This window comes from Homo sapiens, chromosome 2 (genome assembly GCF_000001405.40).
Source record: "Homo sapiens chromosome 2, GRCh38.p14 Primary Assembly".
Classification (NCBI taxonomy): domain Eukaryota; kingdom Metazoa; phylum Chordata; class Mammalia; order Primates; family Hominidae; genus Homo; species Homo sapiens.
Window position 1 is genome coordinate 102,328,019 of NC_000002.12, and position 23,368 is coordinate 102,351,386.

The window sequence follows — 23,368 nt, forward strand, 5'->3', positions numbered from 1 at the left end:
TCCTGATACCAAAGCCTGGCAGAGACACAACAAAAAAAGAGAATTTTAGACCAATATCCCTGATGAACATTGATGCAAAAATCCTCAATAAAATACTGGCAAACCAAATCCAGCAGCACATCAAAAAGCTTATCCACCATGATCAAGTGGGCTTCATCTCTGGGATGCAAGGCTGGTTCAACATACACAAATCGATAAACATAATCCAGCATATAAACAGAACCAATGACAAAAACCACATGATTATCTCAATAGATGCAGAAAAGGCCTTTGACAAAATTCAACAACCCTTCATGCTAAAAACTCTCAATAAATTAGGTATTGATGGGACGTATCTCAAAATAATAAGAGCTATCTATGACAAACCCACAGCCAATATCATACTGAATGGGCAAAAACTGGAAGCATTCCCTTTGAAAACTGGCATGAGACAGGGATGCCCTCTCTCACCACTCCTATTCAACATACTGTTGGAAGTTCTGGCCAGGGCAATCAGGCAGGAGAAGGAAATAAAGGGTATTCAATTAGGAAAAGAGGAAGTCAAATTGTCCCTGTTTGCAGATGACATGATTGTATATCTAGAAAACCCCATCATCTCCTTAAGCTGATAGGCAACTTCAGCAAAGTCTCAGGATAAAAAATCAACGTGCAAAAATCGCAAGCATTCTTATACACCAATAACAGACAAACAGCCAAATCATGAGTGAACTCCCATTCACAATTGCTTCAAGAGAATGAAATACCTAGGAATCCAACTTACAAGGGATGTGAAGGACCTCTTCAAGGAGAACTGCAAACCACTGCTCAATGAAATAAAGGAGGATACAAACAAATGGAAGAACATTCCATGCTCATAGGTAGGAAGACTCAATATCATGAAAATGGCCATACTGCCCAAGTTAATTTATAGATTCAATGCCATCCCCATCAAGCTACCAATGACTTTCTTCACAGAATTGGAAAAAACTACTTTAAAGTTCACACAGAACCAAAAAAGAGCCCACATTGCCAAGTCAATCCTAAGTCAAAAGAACAAAGCTGGAGGCATCACGCTACCTGACTTCAAACTATACTACAAGGCTACAGTAACCAAAACAGCATGGTACTTGTACCAAAACAGAGATATAGATCAATGGAACAGAACAGAGCCCTCAGAAATAATGCTGCATGTCTACAAGTATCTGATCTTTGACAAACCTGACAAAAACAAGAAATGGGGAAAGGATTCCCTATTTAACAAAGGGTGCTGGGATATCTGGCTAGCCATATGTAGAAAGCTGAAACTGGATCCCTTCCTTACACCTTATACAAAAATTAATTCAAGATGGATTAAAGACTGAAATTTTAGACCTAAAACCATAAAAACCCTAGAAGAAAACCTAGGCAATACCATTCAGGACATAGGCATGGGCAAGGACTTCATGTCTAAAACACCAAAAGCAATGGCAACAAAAGACAAAGTTGACAAATGGGATCTAATTAAACTAAAGAGCTTCTGCACAGTGAAAGAAACTACCATCAGAGTGAACAGGCAACTTACAGAATGGGAGAAAATTTTTGCAATCTACTTATCTGACAAAGGCTAATATCCAGAATCTACAATTAACTCAAACAAATTTACAAGAAAAAAACAAACAACCCCATCAAAAAGTGGGCAAAGGATATGAACAGACACTTCTCAAAATAAGACATTTATGCAGCCAAAAGACACGTGAAAAATTGCTCATCATCACTGGCCATCAGAGAAATGCAAATCAAAACCACAATGAGATACCATCTCACACCAGTTAGAATGGTGATTATTAAAAAGCCAGGAAACAACAGGTGCTGGAGAGGATGTGGAGAAATAGGAACACTTTTACACCGTTGGTGGGACTGTAAACTAGTTCAACCATTGTGGAAGTCAGTGTGGCGATTCCTCAGGGATCTAGAACTAGAATTACCATTTGACTCAGCCATCCCATTACTGGGTATATACCCAAAGGATTATAAATCATGCTGCTATAAAGACACATGCATATATATGTTTATAGCGGCACTATTCACAATAGCAAAGACTTGGAACCAAGCCAAATGTCCAACAATGATAGACTGGATTAAGAAAATGTGGTACATGTACACCATGGAATACTATGCAGCCATAAAAAGATGATGAGTTCATGTCCTTTGTAGGGACATGGATGAAACTGGAAACCATCATTCTCAGCAAACTATCGCAAGGACAAAAAACCGAACACCACATGTTCTCACTCATAGATGGGAATTGGACAATGAGAACACATGGACACAGGAAGGGGAACATCACACACCACGGCCTGTTGTGGGGTGGGGGGAGGGGGGAGGCATAGCATTAGGAGATATACCTAATCCTAAATGACAAGTTAATGGGTGCAATACACAAACATGGCACATGTATACATATGTAAAAAACCTGCACGTTGTGCACATGTACCCTAAAACTTAAAGTATAATAAAAAGAAGAAGTAGAATCTCATTGTGATTTTAATTGTTTACATTTATCTAATAACTAGTAACTTTGTGCACTTTGTCCTGTGCTTATTGAACATTGATATATTTTCTTTTGTGAAATATCAGTACAAGTCTTTTCCTCATTTTAAAAATTGGGCTATTTTATCTTTTTCATATGAACTTGTAAGAGTTATTTATGAAGTATAGATACAAGTCTTTCATCTGATATGCAAATTATGAGTATTTTGTCTGGACTGTGGCTTAGTCTATTCAAATTCTAATGATGTCTTTGAAGAAGAAAAGTTTCTAATTTTAATAAAGTCCCAGCTATGATTTATTTTTCTTTCATGATTAGTGATTTTTGTATCCATTTAAAAAATATGTTCCTACTTCAGGTTTAAGATGTTCTGTTATGTAATACAATCCATTTTTATTTCATTTTTCTGTATAATATGAGGTAGAGCTTTTTCACATAGAGAGTCAATTTTTCTATCATTATGTGTCGAAGGCAGTGTTTTTCACAATAAACTTATGTTGGCACTTTAATCAAACATCAATTTACTATATATTTTTGAGTCTACTTCTGGACTCTCTCTTCTTTGATCAACATGTCTGTCTTTATGCCCATACCACACTGTTTTCACTATGGTAGCTTTTATATTAAGTCTTAAGGTCAGGTTGTGTAAGTTCTCTGACTTTGTTCTTTTTCTTTAACCATGTCTTGGGTATTCCCAGGACTTTAATTTGCCATGCAGACTTTAGATTTCCATAGAAGCTTTAGAAGCAGATTCTGCTGCTGGGAGAATAAGTTACACTGACCTCAGGACAAAAGATGTACATGAACTAAATAAAGGACGACAAATGCAGACCACAGCAATAAAGTCTGTGGAATTAGTATGTGAGAAATTACACAATGGTCTAAAATATTAGTCTTGAAGGGATCTTAATGATGATTTAGTCATTTCACATGTGCAAACTGTTAAGACTGCTGGCTGTTTTTCACATGGCCACCAGCCCATTTCTTTTTCCTGAGTGTCTGCAGTCCACAGAGCTTCTTCTGGCTCTCTATGCTCCATCTGTTCTCGGCCCAGGAGTTCCCATGGGACCTCCCAAGGGTGACTCAGGTCTCATCTTCCGATAAGATAAAAGAAATAAGACAGATATTCGGGGTAGAGATGTAAGAGCATGGTGAAAGACAGACTGCTCCTGTTTAGATCCATATATAAAAGCTTTATTTTTTGAATCCCAAATTCCATCCCTTGGTCATCTGTACTGGTTCATTCAATAAATATTTCTGAGGCTGGGCATGGTGACTCAAGCCTGTAATCCCAGCACTTTGGGAGGTCAAGGTTGGTGGATCTCTTGAGCCCAGATGTTTGAGACCAGCTTTGGCAATATGGTGAAACCCCATCTCTACGAAAAATACAAAAATTAGCTGGGCATGGTGATGTGTGCATGTAGTCCCAGCTATTCTGGAGGCTGAGGTGGGAGGATCACCTGAGCCTGGGAGGTGGAGACTGCAGTGAGCCATGATCACACCACTGCACTCCATCCTGGGTGAAAGAGTGAGACCTTGCCTCAGAAATAATAATAATAATGATAATAAGTAAACATTTCTGAGCACCTACTTGGTGCTCTTCCAGGCACATGAGCTATATCAATAGACAAAACTCACAAAAATAATATTGCCTTCTGGAGGTCATATTCCAATGGATAAAACAGAAAATAATAAACATGATGCATAAGTAGAATGTTAGAAGTGATGAATGCCTTAGAAAAAGATTGGAGCAGGTTAAGGAGATGGGGATTGGGAGAGGAGACATTGCAATTCAAAATTGATTGGTCAGGAACTCAAACAAATACTTGGACACCGATAGCAGCATTATTCAAAATAGTCAATAGCTAGAAGCAACCCAGATGCCCATTAAGGGATGAATGGATAAACAAAGTGTGGTAGGCACACACAGTGGAATATTATTCAGTCATTAGAAACAATAAAGTACAGACCCATGCTACAATATGAACAAAACTTGGAAAGATTATGCTAAGTGAAATAAGGCAGTCACAAAGGGCACTTATTGTGTGACTCCATTTATAGGAAATATTCAGAATAGATAAACCCATAGAATCAGAAAGCAGATTGGTGGTGGCTATGGGTTTGTGGTGGAAGAGGAAGAATGGGGACTTCATGTTAATGGGTATGGGGTTATACTCGGGGATGGTGAAAATGTTTTGAAACTAGATAGAGTTAGTGGTTGTACCACATTGTGAATGTACCAAATGTCACTAAATTGTGCACTTCGAAATAGTTAATTTTATGTTATGTAAATTTCAGCGCAATTTTTAAAAATCAGAAGCAAAAAAAGAACAGAAAATTGAGTAGTTAGGCTAAGTCTCACAGAGAATGTACAGTTTGAGTGCTCACTTGGAGGAGGTAAGTTAGCTCTTGGAGGAGGTGGGTAACAGGAAGAAGCTGTCCAGGCAGAAGGAACAATGTCTGCCTAGTGCCTTCAAGGAACAGCAATGAGGATACGGGGTTGGAGGGGAGGGGTCAGAGAGGTGATTGGTGGTGTTCCATCGTGTGGTACCTCCCAGCTTCTGTAAAGACGTTGGCTTTTCCTCTGGGTGAGGTGGAAGACTTTGGAGGCCCCCTTGATTTGACCTAGGTTCTAACAGAATCTCCAGAGTGTCTGTTTTAGGAATATACTTAAGAGGGTACAAGTGGAAGCAGGGATAGCAATTTAGAAGCAGTTATTAAAATCCAAGTGAGAGACCATGGTGGCTTGGACAAGGATGGTGGCATTGAGAATGGAGAGATGCAATTGCAGGTAGGATGTCCTTTGAAGATGAAACCATAAGTTGTCCTGATGGATTGCATGTTCAATATGTGAGGAAGAGAAGAGTCAATAATAAATGGAGTCTTGGTCTGAGCCAACATTCAGCATGGAGTTGTCATCATTACAATTAGAAGACAATGGGAGATGCTGAATTTTCTTTGGGGCAAGGGAGGCAAGGAGGCTGGAGGAGATCAGAAGTTCTGTTCTGGAGACATGAAGCTTTTGTGAATTCCACTTGTTCCTTGAATATATGATGGTTTCTTCTGTTTTTGTTTGTTTGTTTTTTTAAATTTTAGATTCTAAGGTACATGTACTTGTTTGTTACAAAGGTATATTGCATTACTGGTGGGGACTGGTCTTACCCAAATTGTGAATATTGTACCCAGTAGGTAATTTTTCATTCATCACCCCCTACCCTCCCTACTTTTGGAGTCCCCAGTGTCTATTATTTCCATCTTTATGTCCATGAGTACCCATGGTTTAGCTCCCACATATGAGTAAGAACATGTGGTATTTGGTTTTCTGTTTCTTAACTGGTTCACTTAAGATAATGGTCTCCAGCTCCATCCATGTAGCAAAGGACATAATCTCATTCTTTTTATGGCTGAATAGTAATCCGTGGTGCATAGGTACAACATTTTCTTTATCTAGTCAACCGTTGATGGACACTTGAGTTGGTTCCATGACTTTCCTATTGTGAACCGTGCTGCAGTGAACATACTAGTAGAGGTGGAGAGGTGTCTTTTTTATACACTAATTTCTTTTCCTTAGAAAAGTAGTGAGATTTCTGGGTTGAATGGTAGTTTTACTTTTGGTTCATTGAGAAATCTTCATACTGTTTTCCTTAGAGATTGAACTAATTGACATTCCCAGCAACAATGTATAAGCATTCCCTTTTCTCCATATCCATGCCAACATCTGCTGTTTTTTGAGTTTTTGATAATAGCCATTCAGACGGGTCTTCTGGTTTTTGGAGGGGAGGATTGGGTGAAGCAAGAAGGAGTTTGGAGGGAAGGAGTGGAGGCTTGAGTGGGCCTAGAGTTTGGAGTATGGGCAAGAAGGATCCCAGAGACAAGCACTTTGCCCACAGCTACACAGCTAATGGAGCTGGGGGGCCCAGCATATTCTCCAGAGGCCCAGGCTAGGCCGTCTAGGGGCATGCTTGTTCTGCCCCATCCACTGCAGGTCCTGAAAACATTTTCATCAATAAAAAAAAATAAAAAAACAGAATAAAAATGATACCCAGATGTCCTCTAGTGAAATGAGGGGAAAAAAAACATCCATCCCCAGCTTATTGTGAGAGTCACTGAATGAGAGCCTGACTCACTGAAATTCATATAAGATTAATGTAACCAAGTTCCCTGTCTTTTGACACTGGTTTACAGTAAGAGCAGGCCACACATGGCCAGCTCTGGAGTGTGTTAGGACATTTACATTTTACATTTCAGTGTGATATCTGCTAAGTCAAATGAAGAAGTCTTGAAAGATACCTTCTAAGTTCGGAAGTATTTGAGTGTCACATTCCATATGCCAGCAGTTAGTTGTTGCCCTCAAAACATAAGGTTTTGTTTGTTCTTTTGTTTTTTGTTTTTTTAATGGTTATGTAAGTGAAGTAGATTATAAATAGGCACATACAGGATTTCAAAACTGTAACAAAATTAAGAAAAAGCTGGTTCAATGAGCTTAGATTCTATGAGATTAATCTGAAAAGGGAGAGTAGTTATGAGAAGTCTTAAAAAAGTGGGTGTTTGCCAGAGAAACAAGCGGACACTGGAAGATTTCTGATTAAGTTGGCAGAAATTTATGGGTGCTTAAAATGCCTTGCTTTATTCATGTATTAGAAGCCCTTGCCTTTTTGCAGTTTGTCTTAAGTTGCTATAAACTACTCTCTGTTATGTTGAATGGTGCCTGAATAGTGAGAAGCCAAAATAATTTAGTTCTTTTCAAAGAAGAAATTATAGACTAGCTTATTTTAATAACCCAGTCCAAATTATAAAAAGAAAAGCTTTACCAGCCTAATCTCTGGTATAGAGAATGTTCTCTTTTTTTAGTTGACATTGGGGGGAGAAAAGCTTGACTTTGAAGTTCAGCAAGTCTGGTTTCAACCCCAGCCACAACTGGGTGAACTTTGTCAAATTACTTAAACAGTCTTATCCTTGGGTTTTTATTTGTAACTATAAAATTTGAGTGATGTTAATGATAAGTACCACAGAGTATTGTACTTTGAATGAAAGGTCTTAATTGTCAAATGAACAACTGAATTATTTTATAGGAAGAGTTCAACTTTAATAAATACTCCTGCAGAATTTCATCATTATGATGTTAAAATTGATGGAAGCTTTATTTTTTAAACTGAGAAACTAATGCTTACGTGGCCTAGTTTAAGAATGAATGCTCCAACTTAATACATGTTTTAAAAAGATGTTTTGGGATACCAAATGTAAAAGAATTCCGAGTTTGTGTTATTTTATTGAACAAACCTATTCAGCACTTGGGGAATCGCAGGCAGCATTGCAGACTCGCTGGCTCCTGGCTGTGATCTCACACCCAAACTGCAATAATATCCTGATAAAACGGACTTCCACAAGTAGGTCAAGAATAATAATGTGCAGACCTAATTCCTCTAATTTACGGCGAACATCTCATGGTCAATCTCCCCGCGGTCAAAGGACTGTGTATCTCTTCCTCTCAGAGCCACTCCACAGGCTGAAAGGCTGACTAAACCCCTGACAGATAAGAGATTCAAGAGTAGTCCCAGCCCCCATGGGGAGCAAAGACGCTGGCTCAAAAAACGTACTGATAACTCTCCCTTTTGCAGCTACTCCTTTCTGAACCTTCCACAAGCAGTGGCAGTTGGATTCTGTGATTAGTCTAGTCTTCAGAGCCAGCCTTCTTGAGTTCAAATTCTGACTTCACCCCTTAATGTGAAGTGACATGGGCAAGTTGCTTAATCTCTCTGTGCCTCAGTGTCCTTGTCTGTAAAATGGGCATCATAATAATAGCGCCTGCCACATTGGGTGAGTGTGAGAATGAAGGAATTAATACATGTAAATCACTTAGACTGTGTCTGGCATAGAGGACATTCTAAAGAAAAGTTAGCTATTATCATTATATTATTATATGGGTCTGGAATTAGTTCCTGAATCCTTCTGAGATGTGATGACTTATAAACGTAGGTTGAGTTTACTCATGATAGGGTCATCGCAACTATGCATAGCTAAAATCAAATTTTGCTTTTCAAGTTTGTTTTACCTGGAGCCCTAGAGTTCAGGGTTATGGTTTTCTTTGTCACTCCCCTTGAGGGAAGCTTCTTAGTCACACTCTCCTTCTCTTTCTCTGCACTCTATGCACTCTAGAAAAGCTCCTTTTTTTTTTTCTTCATCCAGGCAGAGAGGCCTACTGGGACTTAAATCCAAGGAGCTGAAATCTGTTTTGGGATGGGGTGGAGTCACATTCTGGAACCTAGACAGAGAATTTCTAAGTTCCAGAAAGTGCTGCTTACTTCGCATTTCCTCTCCCCCACCTTTGCTTTTGAAACTCCTGGCACCAATGCTGCCAAGGCTGGCGGAGCTTTCCTGAGTGGTGTCTGCCAAATGAGGAGTCAAGGAATATCTGGAAAGGCAGCCTCCAGGTCCCCGATGTCAAGACCATTTAGAACTGAAAGTGTCCCAATATCGGGGTACAGGCAATAAGCATTAGTTATTAATCAGCCTGAGAAGTTGATTCTAAAATAGGAGGAAATGATTCAATTATTTCCTCTCAAGGGATTACTCAATGTTGTTTTTATGTTTAAATATTTATTTGTCAACATCAAGAATTCTTAGTACATGATGCACCAGCATTTTTGAACAAGTCATAGATTTGGCCACAAATCAAATTTCAGGATGGGAGGAGTGTCTCCCCTTTAAAATAGAAGAGAGTGAGTAGTCTATGAGGAGGGACCTACAAAGACTGGAAACTATTCTTAGCTCCGTCACTGACTCCAAGTTCATCCCCTCTGTCTTTCAGTTTGGGTAAGCATCAATTACTTATCTAAAATTTGTAATAAGAAAAGTCTTCATAATTCATGATTGTGTTTATCTTTATGTTAGTAAATTTCTATGTTGGTTCTATTCTTCCCCTTATATTTTAAGAAAAGAAGTAAGAAAGTAAATGATTATTTTTCTGAAAGAAAAAATTAATGTATTTATTATTATTCATAGACCTTCAACTACTCTTAGAAAGCCTTTGGTGACTCCTGGGAACAAGCTGAGTCAGGAACAAAAGTTTGAGGGTTTGGGGTTGAGAATAGGACAATTACTTGGCTAATGCTTTAGTCTAGTTCTGATTTTGCTACTCCTTAGTTGCTTTGTGATGACTACTTGCACATGTGTCTGTTTGTGAGTTATTTTTGTGAGCATGCTGCTACCAGCCTGTGTGGATGTCTGTGGTTTCACATGATACATTTTATTTTCTAAAGTCTACTGAATTTTATGGTTTTTTTTTCAAAAATAGAAACTCATATTCTTTCCTTCTTAATTTAGTTTCTTTCAGGACATTCTCATGAGACTGGTGAAATATAACTGCGAAGTAGCATGATAACTGTGAAATAGCATGATCATTGTGAAAGCTATATGACCCAAAACTTCCATAGGAATAAGTGCAATGCTTGCATATCTGAAACCTGCTGTTACATCTCTTTGCACTTAATAAATATGTGTTGACTGATTCATTCTCCTGGGTGGTGCTGAGAAAGTAAAAATCATGGCTGATAAAAATTCTGTTTATGGTTTTGTCTAACTTATTTTTCAGTTGAGATATAGGCTACTCTTCCCAACTCAGTCTTGAAGAGTATCACCAACTGCCTCATGTGTGGTGACCTTCACTGTCGTATGCCAGTGACTCATCTGGAGTAATCTCAACAACGAGTTACCAATACTTGCTCTTGATTGATAAACAGAATGGGGTTTTGGATCTTAGCAATTCTCACAATTCTCATGTATTCCACAGCAGCAAAGTTTAGTAAGTATTGCCTTCTAAGTATAATTTAAATTTTTATAAATTAAATAATTTCAAGAACATTTACCTTGTTTTAAGCAGTTTGCTTCCAGTTGTTCCAGTTGAATTGTAAACTGAAAAATATATTGCTTTTGTACAATCATTTTTCATTACAAATCTATCAGAAGAAATTCTTTGTAATGAATATATCATCAGTTTGGCTTTGCATATTCAAATGCAGCAGAATTTAATGTGGTGCCTGCACATGGGAAGTGTTGTGGATGTTTATTGACTGACACACAGTTTGTTTAGATAGATAAGGCTGCTTTTCCATTGGATAACTGTGGGGGATTTAGCTCCAAATTAATTCATTAACATTTCATAAGAGATCTTAACAGTTACTTATTCTTTCCCAAGGTATCACAGTATATGACCGGCTTCTAAATTTAATCCTAGAAGAAAATATTGAGAGTATAAGAATTATGATCTTTTCATTTGATCATTTCAGGATTGTCTTTATATCTTTTATTTGCAGGTAAACAATCATGGGGCCTGGAAAATGAGGCTTTAATTGTAAGATGTCCTAGACAAGGAAAACCTAGTTACACCGTGGATTGGTATTACTCACAAACAAACAAAAGTATTCCCACTCAGGAAAGAAATCGTGTGTTTGCCTCAGGCCAACTTCTGAAGTTTCTACCAGCTGCAGTTGCTGATTCTGGTATTTATACCTGTATTGTCAGAAGGTATTATGCAGAAGGCTCCCATCTTCTTTCACCCTGCTCCCCTTTCTTCAGTGGTTGATTGCCTGAGCTGCCCTTGCTTTCATTCCTTCCCTAGTCCTTTCTGGAACAGTTAAATTTATAAAATGATTTGAATAAAAGTGATTTGGATAAACTTCTAGGAATACTATCAGGTTGAGGTCTAGCTCATTCTGAGCTATTTGGATTTACAGTTGCAGGGATTGATTTGTAGCTGACTTAGAGAAAAACCTAGCTTTCCTAGTGACCAAGATAACTGAGAGCAATTGCTTACTTTTGGCTGGAATTAAGAACAAACTAGCACAGAAAATAGTAATCTGGATGTTTTCCATCTCAGGGGGCCTCTAGTAGGTGAAAAGGGGCTTCTAACCTTCAAGTTAAGCCACAGAAGGCTGATGAGATTGTGTGCCTAAAAATTAATTACTTTTGTTCACAAATTGTTAAATGTTTTGATTTTGTGGCTGTATTTGGCACACACAAAATGTCAAATGAATTAAATCAAAAAGCAGGATGTATTAGTTAAGGGCCTAGGTCTGAGACTAGACAAGTGTCAAATTCATGCTCTGCCACTAGTTAACTGTGCGATGCCAGCAAGTTACTTCTCTGCCCTTCAGTTTCCTTCTCTGTAAAATGCATATAATGTAATAATATATTTCATCTCAAAGCATTATTGTGAAAATAAACTAAGGTAATGTGTGAAAAGTGCTCATCATCATCACTGGTACAGAGTAAACTCTGAATAAATAGTAATTATCTTTATTACACTGGGATTACAGCATTACAGCAGATGTAGTGTATGAATAAATGGTGAAGAAGTCATTGTTAGGGCTACTATGGGGGCTATGTTTTTAGCTCAAGTGTAACAAAAAAGTATTTAAACTCTAGATTTTAATGTTTATTTTTAAATAATAAAATAACCATTATGTATATTGATGGTTTTTAAGAAGAAAAGCAATATTAAGTAAAGGCTGAATTTAGATTAAGTTATTTCACAATGCTAAGTGACTCTTTTAATTGTCTGACTTATTTTAACAGTCCCACATTCAATAGGACTGGATATGCGAATGTCACCATATATAAAAAACAATCAGATTGCAATGTTCCAGATTATTTGATGTATTCAACAGTATCTGGATCAGAAAAAAATTCCAAAATTTATTGTCCTACCATTGACCTCTACAACTGGACAGCACCTCTTGAGTGGTTTAAGGTAAGAAGAAATTTGGAAGGAAATAGATGAAAATTACACAATTAAAATAGACACAAGTGGCCGGGCACAGTGGCTCATGCCTGTAATCCTAGCACTTTGGGAGGCCAAGGCAGGCAGATCACTTGAGGCCAGGAGTTTGAGACCAGCCTGGCCAACATGAGGAAACCCCATCTCTACTAAAAATATAAAAATCAGCTGGGTGTGGTGGCACACACCTGTAATCCCAGCAGCTTGGGAGGCTGAGGTATGAAAATCACTTGAACCTAGAAGGCAGAGGTTACAGCGAGCCCAGATTGCACCACTCACTCCAGCCTAGGCAACAAACATTCTGTCAACAGATAAATAAATAAAAGTGAAGAATTACTGAGAAGGAAATGGAATTTCTTATTTCAGAATTGTCAGGCTCTTCAAGGATCAAGGTACAGGGCGCACAAGTCATTTTTGGTCATTGATAATGTGATGACTGAGGACGCAGGTGATTACACCTGTAAATTTATACACAATGAAAATGGAGCCAATTATAGTGTGACGGCGACCAGGTCCTTCACGGTCAAGGGTAAGCTACTGACATTAATGAGATAGAATACTACGTGAAAGAAGTCGAAGTGGGAACAGCGGTGCCCTTCTGGTTGGGTTTCTTGCACTTCTCCCTCCTCCCTTTACTTCCTCCTGCTCCATCTTATCTTATACATTCTGAACTATGACGCAAAGAGGTTTTCTGAACACACTATCAAGATTTAAGAAATTTCAGGGGGAAATTACATTACTAATTCAAAGCCACATCTGTTCTTTATTCTTTTTTTGTGACTTAATTTTCCAAAGATAAAGCAATCTGAATGCTAACTTAACTTACTTTTTTTGAATGGCAATACAACTATTTGGAGAGCAAAACCAGCTTTTTTTTTTTTTTTCTAGTTTGGTGTCAGAGTTTCTGCAAATTAAAAAAGAGCTTAATCTTTAGTAATACTCATTGGATTCAAAGTCTAATGAGAGGCTTTGTGATGGTATACTATGGTGTACATAAATGTTGTCGAGTGGTTTTTAATCTTTGTTTGCAATACTTTCAACATCATCAATGGCCTTGAGTAAGTCACTTCATTCTAAAAATGTGTTTTCCAAGTTATTTTAAATTTTATAAAAGCTTATTTAAGGGAAAGATTTCACAATCATAGCTTATCAATCTACAAAGGATTGGGGTCTCCTTAGCACAAGTCGATCTACAGACGTAGATGTAATAGCCCCTTTACGTATGACAGTTTTTTCAGGGCAAAGCAATATTGGAGACAAATTTTTGGAGTTTTTCAATACTCCACCGCTGTAAAATAAGCATCACCAGACCACATTCCTATCAGTGCCTCTTTCTGTTTAATATCAACCCTTACAGTGGTCCTTAATCACACTGTCATTAAATAAATGAGCATGAAGGGATGGAGGATTGCAGCAGTGCTCCATAAGCACTGCCCGTCTTTCAGCCTTAGTGGTCACAGGAGTCAGAATTCCGTACGGGGAAGATTTCACTGAGGATGGGCCACCCTAGTGGAGAACTGCGAGCAAATCTGTGGACTCATCCATTTATTATTTTCATGGGTCTTTTGAAATCTTCTCTGTAGTCTTATTCTTATTCTGTAGAAGAGTAGTTTTCTAACAACTACTAGGTCATGTAATTAGTTTTATGGGTTGGATCTGCATTTGTTTAAGTGATATCAGAGAATAATGATATTAAAGAGCATCATAGGTAATAAAAGAAAGTTTTATTTAAGTGCCTTTCTGTTTCGTGTGTGTGTGTGTGTGTGTGTGTGTGTGTGTGTGTGTGTGTTTGTCATTATGGGTTATTGTCAGAAGAACTTGAAAAACATTGCTATGAAATAGAATAGAAACATGAAAATACAAGCTTTATATTGACTAGCATTCAATGCTCTCCTAATATTTATATTTCTTTTTGTCTTTAAGATGAGCAAGGCTTTTCTCTGTTTCCAGTAATCGGAGCCCCTGCACAAAATGAAATAAAGGAAGTGGAAATTGGTAAGAAAATTTATCAGAATGCTGTAAATATTGCCTGGAAAAATCCTTCCATATGACCCCTGTTCTGAATTCCCTTAGCAGGGGTCAGGCAATTAGCATAAGGAACCTTGAGGAGTAAGTGAGGTGACATCCCTGAAAGCACCTGCCCCAAGCATTTGCTAATATTGGGAACAGGGACACAGCAATTGCAGTGTTTACATTTGTTTATTGTACTTTGTAATTCATGATGCTTTCATGTATGCATCTAATTTCATCTTCATCTCTATCCCAGAGCTTGGGATGGAGACCTGCAGGGTGTTCATTCTGGGCAATGGTAGCCAGATCCGGTAAAACATGTTTATCTTCAAAGTAGCTTATGGAGAGATGAAGAGAGTTCTGTAGAAAGATGTGGAAGAGGGCAGTTGGAAAGAAACTCTAATTTCTAGTAGAGGGCAATCCTTTTACTAGAAATCCTTTGTAATGTGGGGTTGGTGAAGGCAGAATCATTGGCCTTGTTAGTTTCCCATGCAGATGAGAATATAGTGGGAGCTGAGCTTCAAACCCAGCTGGGTGAATGAAGGTAATGGAAGCAGGGAGGAGGCAAGAGAGGACATAGAAAGAGGAAGGTGCTAGAGATGAGGGAGGGAGGTCCTGGTGGGGTGCATACTAAGTGTTCAGTAAGGTTTTTTTTTTACATTAAATGGGATAAAATGCCAGTCGCAGAAGTTAATTTTATTGGTGAATGTCCTTACTCCCCTCTAGGAAAAAACGCAAACCTAACTTGCTCTGCTTGTTTTGGAAAAGGCACTCAGTTCTTGGCTGCCGTCCTGTGGCAGCTTAATGGAACAAAAATTACAGACTTTGGTGAACCAAGAATTCAACAAGAGGAAGGGCAAAATCAAAGGTATTTTTATATTGAAGAGAACCATCCTCTTCCCCTTGCACATGGTTTGCACCTGCAAAGTAGGCATTAAAAGTAACAGGTTGCTTTCTTAGTTTCAGCAATGGGCTGGCTTGTCTAGACATGGTTTTAAGAATAGCTGACGTGAAGGAAGAGGATTTATTGCTGCAGTACGACTGTCTGGCCCTGAATTTGCATGGCTTGAGAAGGCACACCGTAAGACTAAGTAGGAAAAATCCAAGTAAGGAGTGTTTCTGAGACTTTGATCACCTGAACTTTCTCTAGCAAGTGTAAGCAGAATGGAGTGTGGTTCCAAGAGATCCATCAAGACAATGGGAATGGCCTGTGCCATAAAATGTGCTTCTCTTCTTCGGGATGTTGTTTGCTGTCTGATCTTTGTAGACTGTTCCTGTTTGCTGGGAGCTTCTCTGCTGCTTAAATTGTTCGTCCTCCCCCACTCCCTCCTATCGTTGGTTTGTCTAGAACACTCAGCTGCTTCTTTGGTCATCCTTGTTTTCTAACTTTATGAACTCCCTCTGTGTCACTGTATGTGAAAGGAAATGCACCAACAACCGTAAACTGAACGTGTTCTTTTGTGCTCTTTTATAACTTGCATTACATGTTGTAAGCATGGTCCGTTCTATACCTTTTTCTGGTCATAATGAACACTCATTTTGTTAGCGAGGGTGGTAAAGTGAACAAAAAGGGGAAGTATCAAACTACTGCCATTTCAGTGAGAAAATCCTAGGTGCTACTTTATAATAAGACATTTGTTAGGCCATTCTTGCATTGATATAAAGAAATACCTGAGACTGGGTGATTTATATGAAAAGAGGTTTAATTGGCTCACAGTTCTGCAGGCTGTATGGGAAGCATGGCGGCATCTGCTTCTGGGGACACCTCAGGAGCTTTACTCATGGCAGAAGGCAAAGCAAAGGCAGGCACTTCACACAGTAAAAGCAGGAGCGAGAGAGAGGTGCCACACTGAAACAGCCAGATCTCATGAGAAGTCACTCACTATTGCAAGGACAGCATCAAAGAGATGGTGCTAAACCATTCATGATGAACTCACCCCCATGATCCAATCACCTCCCACCAGGCTCCACCTCGAATACTGGGGATTACCATTCAGCATGAGATTTGGGCAGGAACACAGACCCAAACCATACCACACACATTATCATTGTTAAACTTTGTAAAGTATTTAAGGTACATGGAACACACGGGAAGTCTGGTAGCTCAGCCCATTTCTTTATTGCATCTGTTATTCACCATGTAATTCAGGTACCACGTATTCCAGGGAGCCTTTCTTGGCCCTCAGTTTGCAGTATACACACTTTCCAAGTACTCTTGTAGCATCCTGTTTGTATCATAGCACTGGTCACATTGCCTTACCTAAATCTGTTTGACAGTCTGCTCAACACGACTGCAAGCTCCATGAGGGCAGGGACATCATCTCTTCCATCTTTGGGTCCTTAGTGCAATACCTGGCAGCTAGCCAGTGCTCAGCTAAATATTTGTTGACTGAATAAATGAATGCACAACCAAATTATTGATACCAAATGTTTTTTTTGTGTACATTTCTACTTCTCTAGCTATAAGTCTTAATTATACAACAAAATACTATTTTTATATTTATGTTTGGTAAATTCAATAACTTTCCTCATCATTTGGAAAGTCAAATTGTTTATTGCTTCCCTACAGTTTTTTCTGAATCTAGCAGGATTTTAATGATATCATTATAATTTGACACAATAAAAGGACAACATGAAACTGATGAATCTTTATTGGGTTAATTTCAGACACTATATAATCTTTTAAAAATGTAACATTCTTTTTTATATATAAATAATTGGTGGCATCACAAATAGCCAAAGCAGGGTGGAGAGAGTGATCCTTCCTGGGTGCAGGCAAGAAGGGGATATGTTTTCTACAGAGTTTTCAAAACAGTGATAAAGCTGTCTACAAGTCATTGTGCTTTTTATCATCACTATGCCCAGACAATGTGAAACATCAGAGATGAAGTGCTCTTCCCACAGAGGTGGACTGATCCTTCTCCCCACTCCCTTGGTGTGTCTCTGAATGCAATGTTGTCTTGGAAAACAGCTTTCCAAGCATTTCACTCCTGAGCACTTGCCAGTTTCCTCACTTGTTCTTCACATATCCAGGCAAAGACATCCTGTTTGCTATATGAAGCATTGTATCCCGTATAAAAGGAAGGAAAGAGAGAAATATATTTTTACACTCATCACTCCTCAGGGGCTGTACAATCATGTAGAAATTGTTTAATGTGCCTGTCAAATAGCCAAAGAGTGTTAAACCCTGAGTTCCCACCCATGTGTGTGGTATGGTTAGGATTCATCCAGATACACAGAGAGAGGCACAACAGGAGGAGAAAGGATAGGGGTGTGGGGACAGCGGGCCCCCAATATGGTGTAATCGTGGCAGGTCTCTGCCTGAAGTGCTATGTGGGGTTTTTCTTGTTTTAATTTTGACTTTAACCCCTGATTTGTAAGTTTTTCATAAAATAAACAGAATCATAACTCATGTAGATGGCTATAAGTGCCGTAGTGTTCTGTGGGTCTCTGGTGTCTGCCAGTGATAAGTGTGGCACCCCAGGAAGGCTGTGGACCCCATCAAGGTGCTATGTGAGGGCCATGCTTGGGGTGGTGGTGGGCCCAGTAGACCCTGCAGCCATCCATCCAGCCTGCCCACTCACACTGCCCTTGTGTACTCCTGCTTTGCTACGTTATCATTGATCAATGTCCCTGGTTACCTATGTGTTTGAATTATCTTCGTGTTACAGGTGTTTAATGATTTTGCTCCTTCTAGCTTATTTGTATTTCACCTGTTTTTCTTTAAATCAACATGGTTACACTCTGTTTCAGCAACTGTATAAATTAAACACAAATTATTACTACTGCTATTGAGTTGTCATGATGAATTCTTTTTTATTTCTGAAATTATAGCATTTCTTGAATTTAAGAGAACAAAAACTTGAAAGGCCTATGTCTCCATTTTATTAACTATTACTAAATACATATTTGATGCTCATAATAATAATACACATTTATTCATTATTTCCTATGTACAAGGACTCATCTGCTTATTTTACATTTAACTTTCTCATTTATTTTCTCAATACTTCAAAGTAAAAGACAAAGAAAGTTGAATAACTTGCGAAATACTACAGTTATGGAGCAAGGATTCAAACACAGCCAGCATTTTCCTAGCTATATGTGTATACAGAAAGTAATGTTTTGTCATCACATACCTGAATTACTTATACTTTTATAAAATAATTCACACTTACGAAGACTTCCTCTGATGTCTTGGATCAACTTCTTTCCTCTACTTGGAAGCGTCCAGCCAATGGCATGGTTACTTCCCAGCAATCCCCACAGGAAGTACACATTCCTCTGTGCATCCAGCTGGGGATTTTAGAGAGAGAGTGACCTGGAAAGGAATCCTGTTGAAATGATTTACTTACGGAGTTTTCATTATTTAACCTGATGACAGTAAGCTCTTTGTCAATTTTCACTTTTTCCCCCCAATTTTGTGTCACATCACCTTGATAATTCTTGATTCCATACTGCTGGTCATTGAGAGAACTGATAAACTATTAGAGGTTGTGGAGGAATTCGTGAATATGGGCCAGTGATTTTTCTACCTTAAAACTGGGAGCCCATGCATGGAGACTTAAGACGGAAAAGAACCGTATCAGCAAATCTCATTTGAGATTCTTCTCACATTCATCAGTGCATATGCATGTTGCATCTACATTTTGTGAAGCAAGGAGTACTAGGAAAAATTTCTGGGTTGGTTGAGTAATGTTCACCATGAGAGAAGTATGGGCTATGAGTAGGACCTAGAACTTAGTAATTTGACTTTTGAATTCTTTATCAAAGACGCTTTAGCCACTTAGGTGACTCTTGCTTCTTCTCCTACCTCCCACACTGCTAAGCCCTTAGAGGCAACAAGTGTCTCAGACCCGTTGATGCCTTCTCCTTAATGCCCTGACAGCACCTTGTCCGTTCCTTTCTCATTATTGCATGAGTTACAACCCTCTGCATCTTGCAACCCAAGTACCACACTCCATTCTTCTCTGAGTGCCCATAGTTTCTTTCCACAGAAACAAACTTTCTGCTACCATCAGATTAATCTCTTGGGAAAACCACTCAAGTCTCCAGTGCTCCTGTGACCTTCAGAATAAGGCAATCTGCCTTAGTTGGGGTTTCAAGTCTGGACAGAACCTGGCCCTGACCAAACTTTCTAATCATATCTTCCACCAATTCCCCAAACTGGGTTATTCCATTTCCTCAGAAAACACACTTCCTCTCTGCACTTAGGCTTATGGTATTCTCTCTGCCCAGGTGGGCATTTCCTTTTTTGCATCTCCCTGAATCCTACTCATCTTTCAGAGGCCTCCTCCTCCTCCAGGAAGGCTCCCTTTCCCAGTCCTGCATGGAGCAAGCTCTCCTTCTAAACTCCTCTGCCAGCAAAAATCATGCTTTTGCCTCCCATCTTAGTTAAGTTGACAAGTGTCTCTCTGCCTCTTTTGCCTTTGAGAATGCCCTATAATGCTTAGCCTGATGTGTTGTAGAGGCTCAATAAATGTGACTGTCCTGGTACTTAAAGCAGCCATGAAAATTCCCAGTGGGTATATCTTATGTGAAATTCTTGTACTCCCAAGGGAAGCCAACATCCATGTATCAGTTTATTATATCTTGTTTCAGTAGTAATAATAATCTTTTTCTTTCTTTTGAATAGTTGATCATCATAGCATCTACTGCATAATTGCAGTATGTAGTGTATTTTTAATGCTAATCAATGTCCTGGTTATCATCCTAAAAATGTTCTGGATTGAGGCCACTCTGCTCTGGAGAGACATAGCTAAACCTTACAAGACTAGGAATGGTAAGTGGCAAATACCAAGTTTTTCTCCCAAAGAAAAAGTCCCATAATAACTGTTGGTTACCTGTCTATTAATCTTTCAGTAGCTAGGCTGCTAAGCCCAGATTCCATTTTGCTTGCTAATCTGTTATCAGTGAGTTGTGTTTTTGGATTTTCTTAAAGGCCATTTTCCATCCTGCTATGTAAATCCTCACGGTCCTGAGATCCATCTCAACAGCTCACTTTTCTTCCCCGATAGGATTGCTATTCCTACTGAGTTCCCAATAACAGAATCTGCCCCAAGCCCAGAAAGGTGTAAATTTCATAATGTATCGGTAAGACATTATGAAGTTAAACACAGTAGCAAAATTGTTCCTGTTTTCCAGATGTGAGCAGGTTAGAAAGGTCCATCGGAATGCATGTGTGTTCTACCTGAAACCCTGATCTGTAAAGTCTAACCCAGGCACACAAGCATGTGCATGAAAGGAGTCAGTTCTGCCTGCTAGATGCAAACTTCATGCTTACATTTGGAGGCAGATACATGTTGCATTTTTCAAACAGTTGACTGAAGTAGGAGCTCATTGTTTGATCTGTGGAAAATTCAGATCCCTTAAAAAATTCTATGCCCTTGCTACTATTAGCTTTAAATTTTTTCACTTCCCCAGGGGAGTATGGGGAAACCAAAGATGAAACCAAAGTCTATTCAGCACAGAAGGCCCCCTTAGTCATAGATTATTAATCAAAATTGATGAGATGGACAGGTTCTTGTCCACTTTTTTGTTATTTAGTCTGTGACAGTAAAAAGGAGAAACACTTTGGGATGAAGACTGTTATTTCCTGATAGTGTTTTGTGGCAGTGGTTTGACGTCAACATCTCTTGAGTCTAGAATATTTTGGAGGATGACATACATTCACCAACAGCCATAAAACTTGGAGAGGAATGTCTTCAAAGAGTCCAGTGAGAATTTTTAGAATCAAGTAAGAAGTTGTACTTCTTGTTTTCATTTTCAGATGGAAAGCTCTATGATGCTTATGTTGTCTACCCACGGAACTACAAATCCAGTACAGATGGGGCCAGTCGTGTAGAGCACTTTGTTCACCAGATTCTGCCTGATGTTCTTGAAAATAAATGTGGCTATACCTTATGCATTTATGGGAGAGATATGCTACCTGGAGAAGGTAAAGCTATTGACATACATTAGGGACAGAAATTCATGCTTATTAAAGGCTGTGAACTAGGTGGCCTTATCCCTGCATTGGATAATGAATTGCATTTACTACCACAGGCCTTAAGACCAGAACTTTAAATATTTATCCAGAAGCAGACACTTATCCTTCAATCGCCCCTCTCCCATCATTGTCCTGGTGATGAGATCTTCACAGTAATGTTGGTGGTGTGAATTCAGAGTTAGAAGTCCTTTGCTTCAAGGACTTAGCAAACCATCATCCCTACTTTATTCCCTTGGTCCCCCACCAGGATAACTCTGCCACTTCTTAATTCTGTCCATAAGATTTGAAAGAGGACTTAAAAATTGATGAGTTTTGTTCTGGTAGCCATAGGCACTAGCTGAAATACCTTAAAAGTACTCAGAGAGTCTTCATGACTTTCTTTATGTTGGTGAAACATTTGCAAATTTATATTCTCACCAGAACAAAAAGAACTATAGCTTCTGTTCCTTAATATTCCTACCCAATTTTATATACTTTTGACAGTTTTATCACAACTCCTGTGTTTGCAGTAGTTATTTTTCCCTTCCCTTCATACATTTATGTCCAGTACCTGTGGACCCTCCTTGTGAACTCTTCTCTAATTTCTCACAGACCAGGAAGGGTTTGGAATATAACTGGGGCTCAGCTATCAAGGGCCTAAGCATAATAAAGTAAATGTTCAGTTTTACATTTTAAACTCATTTTACTAAGAAGAGGAATTCACATGCCTATAGATGTAAAGGTATGAACAACAGGTGACTTTGGTTTACCCTGGAATATCTGGGAATGCTAATAGCCTCAATAACGGCTCAAGAGACTTGTGAAAGATACAATTTAGGAGAATCTAATGCATTTCTTCTCTCAAGGCTCTCTTCTTCCCCCATTTTCCCACTGGCCACCCATGCAGGTAGAAGTAATGAGTAATGCTCTCAAACACTCTTTTCATATTACAAATGTACTCAAGAACCTGCAGGGACTCCTGTTGTTTGTGAGCTCAACAATGTGCCACATCTGGCCACAAGCTCTTCACCTCTTCTTTTTCAGTCTATCCACCTAAGTTCTAGTTACACTTCTCCTCAGCCAAACCCAGATGCTAGCTCTCTCACACTCAAGCTTGTGCTGCCTTCAATGTGTGACAACATACTAATCTGGAATGGTTTTCTACTTCCCTCTGTCAATGCATGTCCTCTGACCTTTCCTCAACCAAAATAAATGAAACCCAACAACACCAAACTTCACTCTTCACTTAGGAAAGTTCATGACTGACTAAGGTACTGTCTATAGTCTCATGCAACTTACCTTGCATTTGCCCCATCAAAATCCTCTCTGCACCACCATTCCATCCAGTGGCCCTGGGTGGCTGATCATCATGGAATCCATTGCACCCTTGTCCTCTGCTCCAGGCTGGGTTTGGCCAATGGGAGGCACTGGCAGGAGGTCAGAGGGTGGTCATGTACCTGCCTCTCCACGTGGGGCTTCTGGAGCAGCTGTGCTTCTCCTTCTGGGAGCACCTCTTCTCAGCTGGCCTGCCTCATGCATCTGCAATCCCTCAGACACCCGTCTGTGAGAATATCTTGGATTGTTTTATTCACGGTTGTGCTTTCTCCTGTTGCAGTGAGGACTGGGTATTTCATGTTCTTTCTGAGTCCACCCAGAGCTAATTGGAATCACCATGGTGTCTACGCTGTATAAATGCCAAATGGGAAAGGGGATCTATTGTCCCTTGAGATTTTTCTAGTTTGGATCAAATCAGTTTCTACAACAGAGATTAATGGGGGTGAAGTAAAGTCAGGACTTACTTTCCTAGAGACTTTGGACAATTTTGAGGGGCAAAGCTTCCTGAGTTTGTGATTTTTAATATGTGAGTTAAAATTTTAAGCCATTGAAAAACATATAAGCAAATATTCTAAGAAGATAATATGTATTCTAAGAAGAATGAACCAGAATTCTAAGTCTCTAATGCAACAATAGACTAAATATCTTTACATTCCCATTTACTTGGAAGGACTCTGTTTTAGTTAAGACTAAGCTACCTGGGAAATAAAAAGAGGACATTGGGGCTGATATTCTCACAAATGAAAGGAACACAAAGAACAAAACGGGTTCTCTA

The 23,368-nt window shown here is 39.0% G+C and overlaps 1 protein-coding gene across 6 annotated transcripts in view; it reads left to right on the forward strand.

The window, feature by feature from the left end:
* IL1RL1 (interleukin 1 receptor like 1) overlaps positions 1–23,368 on the forward strand; it is a 40,794-nt gene that overhangs the window by 16,456 nt on the left and 970 nt on the right. Inside the window, exons 1-10 of one of the 6 annotated variants that reach the window (XM_006712839.4) lie at positions 9,239–9,319; positions 10,098–10,307; positions 10,819–11,029; positions 12,080–12,254; positions 12,648–12,810; positions 14,205–14,276; positions 15,018–15,159; positions 15,252–15,397; positions 19,927–20,073; positions 21,061–21,228. In XM_006712839.4, the coding sequence (XP_006712902.1) occupies positions 10,247–10,307; positions 10,819–11,029; positions 12,080–12,254; positions 12,648–12,810; positions 14,205–14,276; positions 15,018–15,159; positions 15,252–15,397; positions 19,927–20,073; positions 21,061–21,228 (1,285 nt within the window). In that variant the 5' untranslated portion in view covers positions 9,239–9,319; positions 10,098–10,246. Of the gene's footprint in view, positions 1–9,238; positions 9,320–10,097; positions 10,308–10,818; positions 11,030–12,079; positions 12,255–12,647; positions 12,811–13,169; positions 13,340–14,204; positions 14,277–15,017; positions 15,160–15,251; positions 18,083–19,926; positions 20,074–21,060; positions 21,229–23,368 lie in introns of those variants that run through there. The other 5 variants (NM_016232.5, NR_104167.2, NM_003856.4 and 2 more) reach the window with 5 other exon arrangements.